Raw genomic sequence first — 20,915 nt, forward strand, 5'->3', positions numbered from 1 at the left:
ATATGTATATATACATATATACATTATGTTTAGGTCATTAATATATTATATATTATATACATTATATTTATGTCATACCTTGTCTTATATTATATATTATATATATTATATACATAATACATACACATACACACATATTTACACATAAAATAGATATACACATAGCTGCGCATATACACATGTATGTGCATACACATGTACCCATATAGGCATGTGCATGTGCACATATGTATTCATGTGGATATACACACACATATGCACACATAGATACTTATGAACACATATATTTAGTAACATCAAAGATGGTTTTGCAAATCTAGTAACACCTAATTTTCTATAGTTTGCAAGTGTTGTCAGATATATTATCTCATTTACTCAATTTGGATTAATATAATATATATTATTATATATATTAGGCCTTTCACCGATGTGTTTGTATAATATATAAATATATAATATATATGATGTAATATATGATATATCATATAATATATAAATATATAATATGTAATACATTATAACATTTATATATAATATATTATTACATATATTAAATATTATTACATATATTATATATTATAATATAGTTTTCTATGTAATATATAATAATGTATATAATACCCTTCACCCATGTGTATCTTTGAGTTTCCAATGTTACACTATCATAATTTCCAACCTAAATTCAATAGTAAATAATGCTCTTTTCTTCTGCAGTCTCTTGCATTGATGTAATTTTTGGTATATATATGCACTGAAACTATTTATTTAAAACTATTGGAGTGAAAGCTATGGTGTGTTTTCACATTATCTTGTTTGCTATTTACAGCAATCTTTTAAAGAAGTTGGAAGAGGTGAGAAACTCCATCTGATAAGAAAACAGAATCTTTAAGAAGTGGACTTGCTGATGGTCACAGGGCTAGCGAAAGGTGAGCCTGGTATAAACAACATTTAGTGGCATAAAATGTAGTTGTCCTGTGTGTGAAAGTTCTGTAGGGAAGTAGCTAAAGTGGGATATTTATTATCAATAAAAACAATGCAGCCTCCCAATGGAGATATATTCATCCATTGTTAAATTTTGGTCTTGAATAAACCATAAGCTGTGTTTAAATGACTGATGAAGATATTTTCTATGGCTAATTTTATGAGACTTAAGTAAGTTAGTGGTCCTGAGCTCTAAGAAAAATTGCAAATATGTTCTCTTTTCCTCACATTAATTATGAGAAGCAGTTGGCTTAAACTTAGAATAAATAATTGGACTGTGGTCTGAGATACTCTACTAACCTATTGTGTTATGTAAGGTAAATTACCGGACCTTTCTGCAATTGAGTTCCCTTGCTTGTTAAAAATGGAAAGTTGGAGAGGTGCTCCCCTGACAGCCTGTTCAACTTTGAAAGCTCATATAATTCCATTATTACATTCAGCTAATGAAGTATGTGTGTTAGCTGAGAAGTGACTTCTTTTTCTTCAAAATGACTCATTTTTCCCAATAAATGATTTATCCAATCCATTTCCTAGGAAGAATATTTATTTTAGTCTGATGATGTACAGTATGCATTTTACCAGTAATACAAGTTTCAGTGGTTAATGAGCCATGACTATGTCTAAGCATGATATATCTTCATCTTCCCTCAACTTCAATGGAAGAGCACCTTGCTGTAATAGACTTAAAAAGGAGGCTGCCCACCACTTTTCCTTTCAAGGAAAGTTTCTTAAGCCTCAAATTCTAATGGGATTTGGCTCAAAATCAGAGGTATTTGTAATTGTATGTGTCACTTTTGACTCATGTAGCTGATTCCAATATGAAACTGAGATTACGAAACCCTATTCCTACTTATGATAAATGATGAGAAACACTGTATGCTTCAAACTTTGGACCTTTAACTCACATCCATGCACACACAAATTTTGTAGCTAGCCACCCATAAAATAGGACACTATGTGGCCCAATAGGGCTCCAGCTTAAGACAAGACATGACATAAATAATCTTTCTCTAGCCTGGTTTTTTTTTTTTTTTTAACTGTTTCCTTCTCCATCTCTCTTATGATCGCTCTCTTTTTGGATAATGCTTTCCTTCTTTGCACCCAGTGACATATTTGACTTTTCTGGCACGATTATATGTCTTCATCCTAGAACAGATTTGTTTTCCTGTTCACTCCTTACAGCCTGTAATTGAAGTTGCCCTTGGCACTGGTCAGCTTGGCTAGCTTCATGCTAGCCATCATTCCATTATCATGGAATAAATCATAGGGATTTATTCCATATCCCTATGAAAGAGGATTTGGTGACTACAACACCAAGGGAGCTTAATCCAAATTGTCTGAGTAAATGAGATAATGTATCTGACAACACTTGAAAACTATAGAAAATTAGGTAAATGTTACCATATTTGCAAACCACCTTTGATGTTACTAAATATATGTATATATGTGTTCATAAGTATATATGTGTGCATATGTGTGTGTATATCCACATGAATACATATGTGCAACATGCACATGCATATATGGGTACATGTGTATGCACATATATGTGTATATGCCCAGCTATGTATATATCTATTTTTATGTGTAAATATGTGTGTATGTGTATGTATTAGGCATGCATTTGTATGTGTATGCTCTATGTATGTATTATATATGCATATTTGTATCTGTATATGCTATATCTGTATGTATTATGTGTGCACGTGTTTGTATGTGTTAGTTATATGTGTATGCCATAAATTTAAGTCAGATTGTTGGAGCTGTCCTTGCTGAACAGTATCTACTGCCCTGTTTAACCTTATTCTTGACTAACATTAGCACAGCTCTATTCCATTTTTGATTTCCTGTCTCAGCTTATTTCTTTCTTTAGAGCTGCAACTACCTGATTCCTTCACTGAGACATGACCGTTTCCTGCTTTCTAAGGTAAGCCTTGATAGAGGGCATGAAGGCTTTTTAAAGCACTCTGGTCTCATGCGCTGGGAGAGACCATTTGATGCCACTCATAACACTTGATTAGCTCCGTGCCCCATTTAGATTACCTGACTTTTGCCTTGTTACTGCATATGTACAAATCTTTAACTCAGTTCTCCCTAACATCAGAATATTCCCTTTGCTATCCCAACCCCTGCCTTTGGCTAGAGTCTAGCCCCTGTACAAGAACCATGCTTCTAGCAACTGCCTGCATTGCCCTGGGTATTATCAACTCAGGGTTTCCCAATTGATCTCCACCTACCTGTTGGAACACTGCATTGTTTAATGTTCAACTTTTTTGATACTGACAGTCATTTGTGATTTAACCCTTCAGATAGCAGTGACAAAAAAAGTGACTACGATTACTTTTGCACCAAAGCACAAATTTGTTTGCCCCCAGTGGATATATTTTAAGACTTTTTGCAAACAGCAAACAATAGCAAGAAAGGTGAAAATGTTGTTTGATATGATTTTCTTCTAACCCACAACCACACATAAGTGAGAAGATATCACTGTTGAGATCATTGTCATTCTTGGGTTAATCAAAAGAGTAAAAGAATTTAAAAATTGCGTAGGACGCAAAAATAGAAATTGCTTCAGGTATGGGTTAAAGATGTAAATTGTGTATTTACTTGAATATGTAAATAAGGGTGAAAATGTAATAATTTTGTATTTCTGTTTTTCTAGAAATGTCCACATTGTATCTTGGATATTTCTTTAGTCACCTTATTCTGCTACTTAACATACTTCCTTTTAGCCTTACCTGCTAAAGCCTGCAAACTGCAAGGGGTTGCCCTGCCTTAGAAAATCAGAGCAGATCCTCAGATATGACTGTTTACTTTTACTTTCAACAGTTTAGATGTGTTAAGCACAAGTGGCAACCAAGACGTTTCCTAAACCTGAAATTCCCCTGTGCTCTTCAGCAAAATCAGAAAAATAATGAACTCTTAATAACAAAAATGAGATATGAAACACAAAGATTCTGCATTGAAATGAAAGTCTGAAAACCTTACAAAATAATTTAAAATGTTTCGAAAAACAAGCATGCAATTCCAACATTATAATATTGTGAAAAGTATATTAACACCAGAATTTAAAGGGGTGCTTCTCCTTTGCATCTGAATTATTTGGCTAACCCAAGGCAATCCACAGAACCCCTCCAAACTTCAGTTGCCTCAACTAGACATTTGGAATTATCATAGATACCTTTTCTCCAGATAGGGGCTGTCTCAGCCAATCTTGTATACTTTCATATCTGATTATGCAATTTCTACCTAATCCTTGTAGGAAGAGCAAAAGCTGAAATAGAAAGATTAGAATAGTTGTTTTCTATAGAAATGCAAGTCAAACTCTGATATGCTCAATTAAGATGCACATATGCACATCTTTCTCATTGCCACAATCTGGGCACACTTAGCCGTAAGGCATATTGGAATCCAACCAAGCGCATTAGAAATAGAGAAGTAAATACAGGAAGTACAGAACCTGGTTTTTTCTCTATTTCACATTCAGGCTCCTCTTTAATATCTCATGTACTCACTTAGCCAATCTTCTCTTGTCCCCAACTCATCAACCCCAAACCCACTACATCCACGTGTTGTCATTTATTCTTGAGAAATAAAAATAAAATCCTAAGCCTCCCAAACAGAAGAAGAGACCCCCTCTTGGCCAAGGGGGACCCACAGAGAAGGTCTGACGTGCCTTGCTATACCAACTTCTTCACTAACCACCGTTGGACATTTTATCCTAAGGGTTAAACAGAAAGTAGTTTTTTTTGTTTTTGTTTTTGTTTAAGTTTTTCCATTCCCCCTTCCTTTTTTGTGGTTTCGACAAACATCTGTCAGCATTACTTTCTGATAAAAGACCATGAGCTGTGGACTAGTTCTGGCTGGTTTAAAGGGGCTGCACACATGGTGCCTCTGTATCCTCTGCTTCACCTTTTGACATATAAAACATAATTTTAATGCATTTAAATGTTAAGTCTCCAACCCAGAGTGAATATGGGACACATGTAATATCACTGTTGGTTTACTATGCACGTGTGCCCCTGCTTTGTGAATATCGTAGCTCCTCCTGTAAGCTGTGGAATATGTACACTTAGCCAACACATTCTATGTAAATTCCTGTCTCATCTTTTCTTTTTCAAAGTGCTTTCAGTTTCTACCAGAGGCTATGCCTCCCAGCCTGCAGGTTGGCCAGCTTGTAGGACACAACTTCTTGTAAGAAATAAAACTCTCCACTCCAAATTCATAAACCACCTGATTCTTCAGTTGACATTATTAATTCCCTGAACACAAAGTTTCTTTGCCTGGCTAAATTTTACACATTCGGGGGGTAGGTTGCCTTCTCTATATGGTCTCATAACAATATATATCTACCTCTACAATGTCCCTTAATCTATATTATTATATTCACTGGCATTTTGTTTTATCTCTATTAGTAAAATGTAAGCTGCTTATGGGCATAGCATATGTCCTGTTCACTATCTTAAGTGCCTTATACAGTAATATACCACTATGCTTTCATTGTTCCTGCCTAAACTTATGTTGAAGTTTGATCCCCAATTTGGTGGTGTTGGGAGATGGGGCCTAATGCGAGGTGTTGGAATTATGGGGGCAGATTTATCTTAAATAGATTAATGCTCTCCTGAGGGTTTCTCTCTTTTCCTTGCTCTCTCACCATGTGATTTCTTTGCACATGCCAACTCTCCTTCCACTTTCCACCATGAGTTCTTCCATTTTCTGCCATGAGTTGAATAATCCTGAGGACCTCGCTAGATGCAGATGCCCAATTTTGAACTTTCCAGCTACCAGAATTGTAAGCCAATAATCTTTTTTTATTAGACTACCCAGTGATGTGTATTCTGTTATAACAATACTTAATGGACTAAGACATACACACAGTAGGTATTAAATAGCTAACTTTTGACTGAATTAATGAACACACACACAGACAGACACACAGACTCAAACACATAGTTCACATGCAATATGCAAAGAAATTATAGAAGTTATAACCAGCTTTGCCTGGAATTCCTTCACTTGTTAGAAAATCATGAGGTCATATGAATCATCTTAATTTATGAACAGCTATAAATACAACAACTTTTATTTTTATGCTGGAAGCAAATATACCTCCCAGTAGCATTGACAAAATAGTTACAGTTCTAATATCTGGAGTCACACATGCAATGACTAGATCTTAGTCTTCAGGATAACAATGAACAAGTGTAACTACATAACCCTTTGTAATGTAAAAAATGTCTTTTACATATTATTATTTAATTACCCCAACAATTTTATGTGATAGACTTTATTCATATCAATATTATCAGTCAGGATCTAATGGGGTGATAGAAATCATGCCAGTTATTTTAAAAGAGAAAAAATATATATAATTATTGTTAACCAGGTTTTGAATATTTGGAATGAAAAAAAACAGGAGCAAAAATAAAAAGTTGAAATTATTAAAACTTAGAAACTCAGAGGAGGAAGGTCATAGATCTGGGAATGAGACAGCTGGTGAGGTATACTGGCCAGCTAGTGCTGGTATCTCTAAGGGTAGGTAATGTGGCTTGTTTCATGAGTGTTAGAAACACTGCAAATTTGAATAAACTGCTCACCTCTTCATGAAGAACCATTGCACCAGTGACACTCACAAGCACAAGAAGCAAAAACAGGCATATAGAGCAAACAGGAAGGGATACACCTCCATTTTCTCCCCTTTCTTTTGGTCTTCCTCCAGAAGTCTCTATTGGCAGATGATTAAAAAGAAGCCAATTTTCAAAACAGAAGTTTAGTTGAGCAAGTCATAGCCCCAGCACCACAAAGCAGAGTATAAAATGATGAGTCTGCTGTCCAGAGACAACATGATAATCACTGGCACACAAATATGGTGTTTCAGACCATTGGAGATCAGAGAGGTTCACCCCAAATTTTGCAATAAACTTGCAATCAGCAATGTACAACATAGACTTAGAGTTCCATATTTTTTCTACACACAGAGTGCAAAATAATTAGAACATTCCTTATTCACCCTCACATCAAGGAAAGTGTGGTGTGTGTGTGTCTGTGTGTGAGCAAACTATGGTTTGTATTTGCTGACAGTATCTAACACTGACTAACAAAGAGAAGTCTAGAAAGTTCCATTACCTTTCTAAGCCTCAATTTCGGCATCTGCAGATGCACATAATGGGTTTACTATTGAGTAAGATTGTTTAGTGAATAAATATTGAGTATCCACAATATGTAGGACACTGTGCTATGTGCTATGAATAAAATGATAAAAAGAACAATCAAGGCCACCCTCTCCAGAGGTTAGAATCTTGTAGGTGCAGCAGGCATTAATTAACCACTCAAAGGACATGGAATAAATAGAGTATGTGACTGCAACTGAGATAATTGCTGTGGTGGAAAATCCTAGGCAAAAAGAATCATGCAGAGCAAAGGAAACTGATTTGTTGGGAGGTCAAGGAAAACTTCCTGGGGAAGGAAAGTTTGAAGTAAAATCGGTAGAGTAAGTATGAGGTGCCTAGATGAAAGGGTTGGGGAAAATGCAGGGGGGTGGGGGTGGGAGACTTCCATGTGGAAGGAGCAGCAAAATTCCTGTGGAAGAGAAAAAATGGCTCATTCAAGGACCTGAAAGAGGAACCATGGGGCTGGGGTCATGCCTTGGGAGCAAGTGAGTGATAAAGAGAGGAGAATGGTACAAGAGGAGCCTGGAGAGAGAAGCAGCAGTCAGAACCTTGAGTTAATAAAGGTGAGAGCTTTGTAAACTGCTAAGTGCTAATAAAATGTCTATATGATTATGGCTCCTGGGATAAAAAATACTGGAATTTTTACTCTTTGCCATTTAGAAAGTGGGTTACTGGAACCAGAAGGAAAGATTGAAACTGATATCAGAATTATGAAAATTTTCAAAATCCATGTGTATCTCCCCCAAATCAAAGTTGCTTCCCACCCTGTGCATTAAGGGAGCCAAGGCTGCGCAGAGGGAAAAGAACACCAACACCTTACTGTATATGTACTTTCATCAGTATTTAAAATGTAATAATATTGTGAGCTTAAAAGATTTGATTGCTTGATCACAGCAGCTTGTTAATTAAAGGTGCAAAGAGGAGAATGATTAGAGAGGGGAAGTTTGCACCTGAGGGAGAAATAGGATTAGTCTGCCTGAGAAATCAGATTAGCGTTCCTGGCAGCAGGCCAATTGCAAAGAAAGAGTACAGAAGCTGCAGAGAAATGAAATCTGTGTCTTTCCAAGCCCTCCGTGGGAGGACAGGCCTCCCCTCTACATGTCCAAAAGCAGGAAAAAACAAAGTCTTGCAGACAGCTCACCCCTGACATTGACTTGCTTCCCCAATATTAAATGTGTGTCTTGCTAATTGCTCTTGGTGGAGATAACTGTGTTTGGAATTTATTTGGCTCTGAAGTATGTGAGGTTGTGGAATCGCTGACATCACATGATTAATGAGGAAGGTTGGTTTCCACATCCTCTGTTGCAGAGATTGGAGCCTCATCTCATCGTTAGGGCCCCCTGGGTCTGCCTCACATCACAGTGGCCTGTGTTTCATTAAACGGAGCAGCTTGGTTTCCAGAGGGGTGATTAGGAGAGAGATGAAAAGGTGGGACAGCCTGGGAAGTCCGGAGTGCAATGATAAAATATAACGTGTGTACAATAGCCAAGAGGCAGTGTGGTAAAATGAAAAAGTGGGGCTTGGAAGCCAAACACGCCTGAGTTAGAACCTTGCCTTCTACAGGTAGAAGTCCTGTGACCTTGGGCAAATTAGCTTAACCTCTTTGAGCCTCAGATTGCCTATTGTAAAATGAGAATCATAAAACCTACCTTGAGGGGTCTCTAGAGAATTTTTAGAAAAAAAAGGGCAAGCCATTCCTGGTGTGGTGCTCTTGTTCAATAAGAAAAAGCTGTTGTTATCATAACAAAGTGTTTTCCCACATAGTCTTTAACCCTGCCTGAGACTGGCCCAGAAATCCCAGTCACGAAGGAATTTATAATCCTTGTTGAAATACTCTAACCACACAGTGGGCATTCTGCCACCAGTGTGTTCAGTAGGGCCACCTCCCAGAAAGACAGGGGACAGTCTCGGTTTCAGCTTTGGTGATTTCATTCAATATTCCGTTATCTCAGCCGTCAGTTGACACCCTCTGGACTCAGTCATTCACCTCCTAAGTCAATCCCCACTCCCCACACCGGTACCCAGCTTACCGCTCAGGCGTGGTGCATACTACTTGGCCCAGCGTGGCTCTTCAGCAAATGCAGTCGGCACATACACATTTTTTATACCATTTGCCCATGACCTTGTTCTTTTTTCTCCCTACACAGAATATTGGATCAAGAGCATACCTTGCCTTCCTTTCCCAGTTACTTCACTGTTAATGTTCTTATAACTCTCAGAAAGTCACACACAGATTCTGTGAAGAAGGTACAATTGTCTATTTTTGCCTTTCTCAATTCATTGTCAGAAAAAGCTGAAGCTCAGCCATGGCAAATCGCTTTCCTATGGCCAATGAGCTTATAAATAGTGATTGAGAGTTAAGTTTCAATACCTGAAACTACTTTAATGTGATGATTCCAGGATGCCTATACCATGGACTCCAAAAAGACTAATGCCACTGCTCACATCTTCATTGATCTGCTATCATTCATTCATTCAGTAATTCAGGCCAATAGTTAATTTGATTTCTTCTTTTCTCTTGTTCCTTACACCTGAACCATAAACCAACTTTGTCATTTCTACCTTCCCAATTGTGTGTATCCCAAAGTCAAACCCTTTTTATCACTTCCATCTCTACCTGGTCCCCATCACCTGCCACCTGGCTATAGCATTAACCAGTTAAGGGCCTAATGCCTCCCACTCCCACATGGCCCCTTATTGTCTATTCTGCAGAGTACACAAGGAAATTTGATGTTGCCAAATGTCTTAGTCCATTCTCCCACTGCCATAAAGAAATACCTGAGACTGGGTAAGTTATAAAATAAAGAGGTGTACTTGGCTCACGGTTCCACAAGTTGAACGGAAAGCATGGCTGGGGAGGCCTCAGGAAACTTACAATCGTGGTAGAAGGCAAAGGGTCGACAGGTACCTCTTACAAGCCTGGAGCAGGAGAAAGAGAGAGGGAGAAAGAAATGCTACACACTTTTAAACAACCAGGTCTTATGATAACTCTATCACTAGAACAGCAAAGGGAAATCCACCCCCATGATCCAATCACCTCTCACCATACCCCACTTCCAACACTGGGATTACACCTTGACTTGAGATTTGGGTGAAGACACAGATCCAAACTATATTACTAAATATTTGCCCAGAAGACTCAGTGGCTTCTTATGGTACTTGGAATAAACCCCAAAGTTCATATCACAGTCTATAAATGCTTCTATGATCTGGCCCCTGCCTCCCTTTCTCTCCACCTTCACATGGCCTTTCTTGCTGGCTCTACCCAAGCCTTATACTGGCCGCCTTGCTGTTCTATAAGCATTTTGTCTCTTTTAGTCATCACTGTATCTGTACTACTTACAGCATTGGCTGATGAGAAGTGCTCAATAACTCAATAAATCTTGTATTAGTACATTTGTAAAATAATATTAAAATGAATAAAGTAAGATTTCTGCCCATCAATTTTCAAGGAATTTACAGTCAGGTGGCGCAAGTAGGATACAACAAATTAAAATACAGCAATGTACACCGTGATACTATCTATAGAGGTTACCAGATGAAGGGCATAGAGCCCATGGTGGTCAAAAGAAAACCCTGGAGTGTGACACATGAGTCACAACTGCAATATTTACTACATGTTCAAGCTTTGGCAAGATGGTAAACCTCTGAGTAACTATATTTTGTAATCAGAAAATAAAATAGTACTTTCATTATTGCGTGGTTTAGAGGATTAAATTAGTTAATGAAGCACTAAGAACAGTGACTGTCACATAGTGAATACTTGATAGAATTAACTAGAAGTACTAGTTGCAGTGGGAGAAGTAAAATTATTATTATCCTCAAAGCATATGCCAGGGAACAGGGTCTGAGATTTCATAAAAATGAGTTTAAAGGTTTTGATCATCACTAACATCAGGTGCTCTCATAGCCTATGTCTGCCAACCGGGCCAGAGTATATGACAAAGAAAGCTGCTAAAAGACCCACATATTCATAGCCCATTGGACATCTGTTTCCCACATGCAGTGCTTCCTGTTTTGCAGGCTTCAGGCTGGTTGCCAGAGTTAGGGCAGCCTGGGGCGGTGGAGGAGTGGGGGGCTGTCCCAGGAAATGCAACTCTATAAGGGCAAAGCTTGATAAGAGAGTGAAAAAAGCCTCCATCCCCCTTTCTGACCCACCTTTCTCTCTAGCCACCCATACGATTCCTACATGTAAGAATCCAAACAGAAAGTGAATGCACAGGGTCAGTTTCTTTACATTAACTAGTGAAAATGACCCTGCCAACCTTGCAGGGTGATTATGAGAATCTCACTAAAGCTTGCTAACTCTAATGTTTTAAAAACGAGGCTGCTGTGGAGGAGGATGAGTGTCTGTTATGGAGAAATCATGAAAAGTAGTGCTGTGTAATAAATAATTTGATTGGCTCTTTTCCCTGTTTTCTCAAAGGGAGACTAAATCCTTGGAATTTCCTGAGTAATAAGAGCTGTTTTGTTATTCATGAGTACTGTGAGCCACACCTGAATTTATGATAAGAGGATGAATCAGGATAAGAACCTACCATTAAAAAGACTAACCATGCCATTAGAGGATTAGGGATTTGACCCAGTCTAACTGCCATAGAGGGTAGGACAACTGGAGAATTAGTTCAATTGTATGACAGGTTATACAACCAAGTATGCCTATTTAATGAAACCCCAATAAAACTCTGGATACTAAGACTTAGTGGAGCTTCTTGGCTGGTGAACACATTGATATGCTAGCAGGGTGATGCAAACTAATTCCATGGGGAGAGGGCACAGAAGCTCTGTATTCAGGACCCTCTCAGACCCCACTCTATATACCTCTTCATTTGGTTCATCCTGATTTGTATCCTTTACAGTAATCTAATCATAAGTATAGCACTTTCCATTCTAGTGGGTTACTGTACCAGTGTGAACACCCTGGATTTATGTTTCGTTGTCCTGATGATCCTACTTGTGGTTCACATGTAAAGTGGGGGCAGTCTCATTGGGGACTGCGCCTTTATACCTGTAAATATGAGGCTAACTCAGGGTAGCTAGCATCCAAATTCAATTCCAATACACAAGTTAGTATCAGAGTAAGTTGGAAGAGCACCGCTTTCAAGGTAGTCTACACTGGCCAAAACCTGTATACTTGTTTGCTGTGTGGACTTGCACCAATTATTTACCCTATCTGAGTCTCAGTTCTACAACTGGTCAGCCTGGAATAATGATGCCTACTTGCTGAGCTGTGGGCCATAGGAAAGAACATAAGGTAACAAACATAAAGTACTATACACAGTGCACTGAGTATAATAAATGCTTAATAAATGTTACTTTTGGTTATGACCATTGGATCTATCACACTGTATTACTCCAAGTTTCCATCACTGTGCTTACATCTTTGTGGCTACGTAAGAGATCAGTTGAGGGCCTAAGACATTAGGCAGTTTGCCATTGGGGCACAGAGCCCATCACTGCTGTTGCTAGTGGTGGCCTTTAATATAAATGGGTCAATGGGAAGATACACAGAGTTAAGACAGAAACAGTGGCAGACACAGTTTGGCTTTGGCCTTGGTGTTTTCTGTGAGGCAGGGTCAGCAGCATCCTCTCGTCTCTTCTACAGTAGCTTGCTCTGGCATCAGAAAACAAGCAAAACAAAAGGAGACAAAATGTTCTTTTTATTTTTTTTTTGTACACTCAATAGTTTTAACAAAGTTAAACTTCTTTTATCTTCATCTCTTCATGTGGCGAGTTGATGCAAAGACTTGATGCAACGATGTATTGCAAAAGGGCTTAGATTAAATGTGAAACCAGATCAGTTTCAATAACAATGTCAGTTATTATTATTGTAGGCTGATGCAGTGACCTGAATTTTTATTCTATAATCAGATACTAAAAGTCCAGATTAGTGGACAATGAGGTACTAAGACCCAGTTGGTGGGAAGACACCATTCCCCATTTCACTGCCCTTAGCACAGTTTCTGGCACATTGCAGGAACTGAATAAAAATTATGAATTGTTAATATATTTTAATCTTGCAAATGCACAGCTCAAATAGACTGCATAAATACCCACAATGATACCCTGAAAATAATACAATTTATTCTGTTTCTACGGGCCTTGAGAGGTTTTATGTTAGTACTGACAATTATAATATAAATCATATTTATCTGTCACATTATGAGCTATTAACAACATTTCTTGGAAGAAAATGAAAACTTCAGAAAATATGAATAAGCCTGCTTTCCATTTTTTCAGATTGACAGCAGGAATTTTACGCCTGGTTCTGTTCATTCATCTTGGGCTTATTACATTTATTTCCTAAGGGAAAGAGACCTAAAAAATATCAGGTTTCCTCAATACTATACTTTCCTACATTTCTTATGAGTCCAGTGAGAAACTAACTGGGGAAAGATCTCTTATTGGAAACAAGGTAATATGTACCTTTAATACTGCTTCATGGGAAAAAAATATACAAGCATTATTCATTCAGTCTCCTTCCAAGTGACATGCGCTGAGAGATAAGACTAAATGTAGATTTGTATGATGATAATAATAATTATTATACTGTTTTTCTGTCATCGTTGTGTTATACTAACAGAATAGGGGCAATCGTCCGTCTTATGTTAAAAGAAAACACAAAATGGAAGAGCAGAAAGAAAGAAGGACTTGGAGAATAAAAACTTGGCCTAAGGCCCTGATATTTTAACTCTTTTAGTCAATATTGAATAATCTATACAATAGGTAACTATGATAGACAAATAGTTTAAATACAACCATTATGGAAAGCAATATGGGGGTTCCTCAGAAAACTAAAAATAGAACTACTTTCTAATCCTGCAGTCCTACTGGGTATGTATCCAAAGGAAGTAAAATTAACATGTTTAAGAGGGTTCTGGACTCCCCTGTTCATTATTCCATATTCACAATAGCTAAGATATGGCAGCAACCTCAATGTTCACCATTAGATGAATGAATAAACAAAATGTGATGTATTGACACAATGGAATACTATTCAGCTTTAAAACGACAGGGGGGATCCTGTTATTTGTGACATCATAGATCAACCTGGAGGACGTTGTACTAAGTGAAATAAGACAGTCACAGAAAGACAAATACCACATGATCTCACTTTTCTGTGGAATTTTAAAGAGTTGAGCTCATAGAAGTACAGAGTAAAATACTCGTTACTAGAGGCTGCATGAGACAGGTGGAAGGAGAAAAGGGAGATGTTGATCCAAGGGTACAAAGGTTTAGTTAAACAGGAGAAATAAGTTTTATCTATCTGTTTCACAGAATAGTGACTATGACAAATAATGCATTGTATATGTCTAATTGCCAAAAGAGTCGATTTTAAATGTTTTACCACAAAAGAATGTATGAGGTGATCAATTTATTAATCACACTGATGTAACCATTCCACATTGTAAGTATATATTAAAGTATTGCATTGTGTCTCATAAACATATATAATTGTTATCTGTCAATTACAATTTAAATTTAAAAAATAAAAATAAATACATAAGTTTATATATGCGAAAATACGTTTTTTGAACCAAAGTAACCTGTATTACTAATGCACCAGTGGGTGGGAATGATTTCCCCAGCATCTCATAGGTTCATAAGATTGTTATTTCTTATTGACTCCTTTAGCACTACGTAATGTCTCCTTTTTTTTGTTTTATCATTTTCCTTCTTCAAAAACATGGTTTGTGTGAAATTAATATAGCTACTATAGCTTTATTTTGATTAATGTTAGCCTGGTATATCTTTATTCTTCTCTTTACTTTTAATCAATCTGTGTGTTTGTAGTTAAAGTGGGATTCTTTTAGACAACATATTGGTGTCATTTGTTTATTTCATCTACTCTGACAATGCCTGTTTTTAATCAATATCATTTCCAAATAAAATGAGTATTGATATAATTGGATTAATATCTTCTATATTTGTAATGTTTTCCATTTATTAAATGTGTATTTTGGCCCTCCCCTTTTTCTGATTTCTATGATTTTGATTGAGCATTTCTTACCATTTAGTTTTATCTTAGCATAGATAAGCCATACTACTTAAAAAATGTTAGGTGTTACCCTGAAGTTTTCAATGTACATATTTTACTAATTTAATTTTACCATCAAATAACACTGTACCACTTCACATTAGTGAAGTGCCATGAAAGAGAACAGTTTCAGTGCCTCCCTCCCATATCTTATGACGCTGCTACCATTTATTTTACTTACCTGTATGCTGAAATCACCCAATGCAATCATGTTATTATTACTTTAAAAAAAGTATCTTTTAGTTATATTTATTGGACAAATTAAATACTTTGTGCCTTCATTTTTTAATTTTAAGTCAATGTATACTTCTTTTTTAATTTTTGTGGATACATAGTAGATGTATATATTAGTGAAATACATGAGAAATTTTGATATAGGCATACAATGCATAATTACCACATCAGGGTAAATGGCATACCCATCACCTGAAGCATTTATCCTTTCTTTATGTTACAAAAAAAAATCCAATTACACTGTTTAAGTTGTTTAAAATTTATAATAAATTATTGTTTACTCTAGTCACCCTGTTGTACTGCCCAATACTATATCTTATTCATTCTACTTTCTTTTGTACCCATTTACCAACCCAGCCTCTGGTAACCATTCTTCTGCCCTCTATCTCCGTAAGTATAATTGTTTTAATTTTTAGCTCCCATAAATAAGTGAGAACATGCAATGATTGCTTTTCTGTGCCTGGCTTATGTTGCTTCACACAGTGATCCCCAGTTCCATCTGTGTTGTTGCAAATGGCAGGACCTTATTCTCTTTTATGGCTCAGATGGAGATGGGGAACTTGTTGGGAACTGGAGCAAAGGTCACTCTTGCTATGCAAAGAGACTGGTGGCATTTTGCCCCTGTCCTAGAGATCTGTGGAACTTTGAACTTGAGAGAGATAACGTAGGGTATGTGGCAGAAGAAATTTCTAAGCAGCAAAGTGTTCAAGAGGAAGCAGAGCATAAATGTTTGAAAAATGTATAGCCTAACAATGCAGTAGAAAAGAAAAATCCATTTTCTGGGGAGAAATTTAAGCTGCCCACAGAAATTTGCACAAGTAATGAGGAGCCAATGTTAATCACCAAGACAACAGGCAAAATGTCTCCAGGGCATATCAGAGATCTTCAAGGCAGCTTCTCCCATCATAGGCCCAGAGGCCTAGGAGAAAGAAAATAGTTTTGTGGGCAAGGCCCAAGGACTCTCTGCTGTGTGTAGCCTAGGGACTTGGTGCCCTGCATCCCAGCTGCTCCAGCCATGGCTAAAATGGGCCAGGATACAGCTTAGTCCTGGCTTCAGAGGGTGTAAGACCCAAGCCTTGGCAACTTCCATGTGGTGTTGAGCCTCAGGGTGCACAGAAATCAAGAATTGACATTTGGGAACCTCTGCCTAGATTTCAGAGGATGTATAAAATGCCTGAACGTCCAGGCAGAGGTTTGCTGCAGGTGCAGGGCCCTCAGGGAGAACCTTGGCTAGGCCAGTGCAGAAGGAAAATGTTGGGTTGGAGCTACCACACAAAGTTCCCACTGGGGCACTTCCTAGTGGAGCTGTGAGAAGAGGGCCACCATCCTTCAGACCTCAGAATGGTAGATTCACCAACAGCTTGCACTATGCACCTGAAAAAGCTGCAGACACTCAATGCCAGCCCATGAAAACAGCCGGGAGGGAGGCTTGACCCTGCAAAGTCACAGGGTGGAGCTGCCCAAGGCTATGGGAGCCCACCTCTTGCATCGGAGTGACCTGGATGTGAGACATGGAGTCAAAGGAGATTATTTTGGAGCTTTAAGATTTGACTGCCCTGCTACATGTCAGACTTGCATGGGGCCTGTCTTTAAGTTTACTAATTCTTTGTTCTTCTTGATACATTTTGCTGGTAAGAGACTCTGATGTATTCTTCAGTATATCAATTGCATATTTCAACTCATGAGTTTCTGCTGGATTCTTTTCAATTATTTCAATCTCTTTGTTAAATGTGTCTGATAAAATTCTGAATTCCTTATTTAGTTCATTTGGTGAAGTCATATTTTCCTGGATGATCTTGAAGCCTGTGGATGTTTGCAAGGTTCTGGGCATTGAAAAGTTAAGCGTGAATTGTAGTCTTCACAGTCTGGCCTTGTTTGTACCCATCCTTCTTGGGAAGGGTTTCCAGGTATTTCAATGGACTTGGGTGTTGTAATCTAAAAATTTTTGGTTTATGAAGTCATATCTGCATTAGGAGGCACCCCAAGCCCAGTGATGCTGTAGCTCTTACAGACATGTAGAGATCCTACTTTAGTGATCTTTTATAACAGCCGAAAGAATACTCTGAATTAGCATGCAGTGATTTGCTCTCTTATTTCACTTTCTTCCAAACAAATAAAATCTCTCTTTCTGTGCTGAACTGGCTGGAGCTAGGGCAAGAGTGACATAACCACACCTGTGTCCACCACCACAGGGATTATGCTGGGTCGGACCTGAAGCCAGCACAGTACTGGGTCTCACTCAAGGCCCACAGTAACCACTTCCTGGCTACCACCTATGTTCGCCCAAGACGCTAGTGCTCTACAATCAGCAGGTGGCAAAGTCAGGCAGGCTTTTATCCTTCCCTTCTGGTGGTTGAGTTCTCCTTGGCGCCAGTTAAGTCCATAGATGATATCCTGGAACCACTGCCTACCTAGAGATGGAAATCTTAGAAATCTAGCTAGTAGGCTATTCTGTTGCAGCTAAGCTGGCATGAAGCCACAAGACAAAGTCTTTTCCACTCTTCCCTCCCTTTCCACAAGCAGAGGAGTCTCTTTTTATGGCCATTACCACCCCATGCCTATGGAAAGTACTGCCTGGCTACCACTGATGTTGACTCAACATCCAAGGGCTTTTCAGTCAGGTTGTGGTGAATGCTGCCAGGCCTAAGACTCTTCCTTAAGGCCAGGGGACTTTCTTTCAGCCAAGGCAGGTCCAGAAATGCCATCCAAGAACCAAAGCCTGGAAGTAGGGATGCCAACAGCCCACTTGGTGGTCTACTCAATATGTCCAAGCTGATACCTAAGTTGTAAGACAAAGTCCCCTTTACTCTTCCCTCTCCTTTTCTCAAGCCTAAGGAGTTTCTCCCTGTAACCACTATATCTGGGAATTTGCTGAGTCACACCTAAAGCCGTATAGTCTCTGAGTGTCACCCAGGGCCCACGGCAAGTATTGCCTGGGTGTTTCTGCTGATTATTCAGGGGACAAGCGCTCTTTAATCAGCAGATAATGAATACTGCCATGATTGTGTCTTTCTCCTTAAAGTAGTAGGTTCCCTTCTAGCCCAGGATGTTTCTAGAAATGTCATCTTGGAGCTGGGGCCTGGAATGCAGGCCTCTTGACTCTATCTGGTGCCCTAGCCAAGCTGGTATCCAAGTTGCAAGACAAAGTCTTCTTTACTATATCCTCTCCTTTCCTCAAGAAAAGGAAAGCAGTATCTCCCAGATCTGTGAGCTGCTCTGCCTAAGGTTGGGAAAGGGGTGGTGCAGGCACTCCTGTGGTCACTCAAGCTGATGTCTCATAGGGTCACATGCCCTCCATGTTCACTGGCTTTAAGCCCAGCATAGCACCAGAACTTGCTCAAGAATTGCAGTTCTTGTGGCCAAGGCTGCCTTTCAAATTTACTTAGAACCTTAGAGGACTTTAGCCTGTGGTGGCAAGGCTTGCCGGAACTCAAGTTTCAGCTGCTGAGTTGAGTGGTTTCCCTCTTGCTAGGGCTGGTCTAAATACTTCTCAATGGGTACCAGCTGAGTTCTGCTGCTGTGGCTTTCCACTGTGACAGGGCAGCACTGAGTTCCAATACAAAGTCCACCCATCACCATGTTCTTTCTTTCTGAAGCTCACAGATTCTCTTTCTACACCACATACTTGCTGCTGGGGAATGAGGGCTGCAAATAAAGACTTTCCTTCCTATCACTTCAGTGCTTCTTTCTGTGATATGACGTTAAATCTAGGTCCTGTGATTACAAACCTGATTTTTGGTTCCTATGAAGGTGCTTTTCTTGTGTGGATAATGGTTCAATTTGGTGTGCCTGAGTGGAGGGTGATCAGTGAAGGCTTCTATTCAGCCATCTTGCTCTGCCTGCAGAGCAAGCTCCTATCTTTATTTTTTTCTTTCTCTGATACTCTTCCTTTATACAGATTTGTGTTTCTGACCTACATAATTTTCCTTTTCCTCGAAGAACTTTTTCTTCTTTCTTGAAGAGAAGATCTTTCAGCAACGAATTCTCTTAAAATTGTCCACAAAAGTCTTTATTTCTCATTCACTTTTCACTAATTTTACTGAATGTAAAATTATAGATTGCTGGGTTTTTCTTTTTCTAACAACAATATAAATATTTAATGAAGTGTCTTTTTGCTTGCATCATTTGTGAAAACAAGCCCTCTGTAATTCTAATTCTTGTTCCTCTACAGGTAAGTTGTGCCTCCACTGTAACCCCTGGATTCCCCTGGTTCCTTTCAATTGTACTCTTTGTCTTTGCTTTTTTTATTGAGATGGAGTCTCGTTCTGCCACCCAGTCTAGAGTGCAGTGGTACCATCTCGGCTAACTTCAACCTCTGCCTCCCAAGTTCAAGCAATTCTCCTGCCTTAGCCTCCAGAGTAGCTGGGATTATACGCATTTGCTACCAGGCCCAACTAATTTTTTTTTGTATTTTTAGTAGAAATGAGGTTTCATCATGTTGGCCAGGCTGGTCTTAAAGTCCTGACCTCAAGTGATTTGTCCACCTCAGCCTCCCAAAGTGCTGGGATTACAGGCATGAGCCATCATGCCTGGTTGCCTTTGCTTTTCTGCAGTTTGAATATAATATACCGTGGTATAATTTTTTTGCTATCTCTGCTGCTTGGTATTCTCTCAGTTCTCTCAATCTCTCTCTCTCTCTCTCTCTCTCTCTGTGTGTGTGTATGTGTGTGCATGTGTGTATGTGTGTGTGTGAATGTGTGTGTGTTTTACATTTTCAAATGTTCTTGGTCATCTTTGCTTCAAACATTTATTCTGTTCACTATCTTCGTCAGGCATTTCAATTAGACATATGTTATACCTTTTAAAATTTCCACACAGTTCTTGGATGTTCTGTTCTGTTTTGTGTTATGTTTTCTTTCTTACCGTTTGCCTTTTAATTTGGTGGTTTCTACCAACCTGTTTCAAGTTTACTAAGTCTTTCTTTGGTGATGTTCAGTCTACAGATGAACGCATTGAAAACATTCTTCACTTATGATACAGTGGGTTTTTTTTATTTCTAACATTTTCTTTTAATTATTTCTTAATTTTTAAATTTCTGCTAACATTACCAAACTGTTACTTTATGTTGTCTACCTTTACTGATAAGCCTTAGCACACTAATTAGAGTTGTTTTTAATATTCTGTCTGATAATTCCAACATCTGTGTCAGATCGAAGTTTGGTTCTGACAATTGCTTTGTCACTTCATACATGTTATTGTTTTTCTTGTCATTTGGCATGACTTTTGACTTTTTATTGAAAGCAAACATGACATACCAGCTATTAGGAACCAAAGTTAATTGGCCCTTAGTGTGAGGATTTATGGCTAAGAATTGAACTATGTTTAATTTTTATTTTATTTGAGGTATTAGAGCCTTCTAATTCCTCTAGTGTTCTTGTTTTTGTCTCTCTTCTTGATGTTGGGTTTCCCTAAATACTTTTCCTCAGAGAGTGTGTGTCTTGAAGCTCTTTCAGCTGGTTTATCCCCTGTGAATATACTGAAGTCCTATTGGT

General features: G+C 38.4%; 1 long non-coding RNA gene across 1 annotated transcript in view; it reads left to right on the forward strand.

Annotated features, from left to right (window-relative positions):
- Window positions 1-832: 832 nt before the first annotated feature.
- Window positions 833-20,915, forward strand: part of LOC107986905 (uncharacterized) — a 33,147-nt gene continuing 13,064 nt past the window's right edge. The window contains exons 1-4 of the long non-coding RNA XR_001745742.1: window positions 833-926; window positions 2,838-2,908; window positions 5,686-5,773; window positions 9,299-9,398. This is a non-coding gene — a long non-coding RNA (uncharacterized LOC107986905). The remainder of the gene's footprint in view (window positions 927-2,837; window positions 2,909-5,685; window positions 5,774-9,298; window positions 9,399-20,915) is intronic.

Source organism: Homo sapiens, chromosome 8 (assembly GCF_000001405.40).
Source record: "Homo sapiens chromosome 8, GRCh38.p14 Primary Assembly".
NCBI classification, from domain to species: domain Eukaryota; kingdom Metazoa; phylum Chordata; class Mammalia; order Primates; family Hominidae; genus Homo; species Homo sapiens.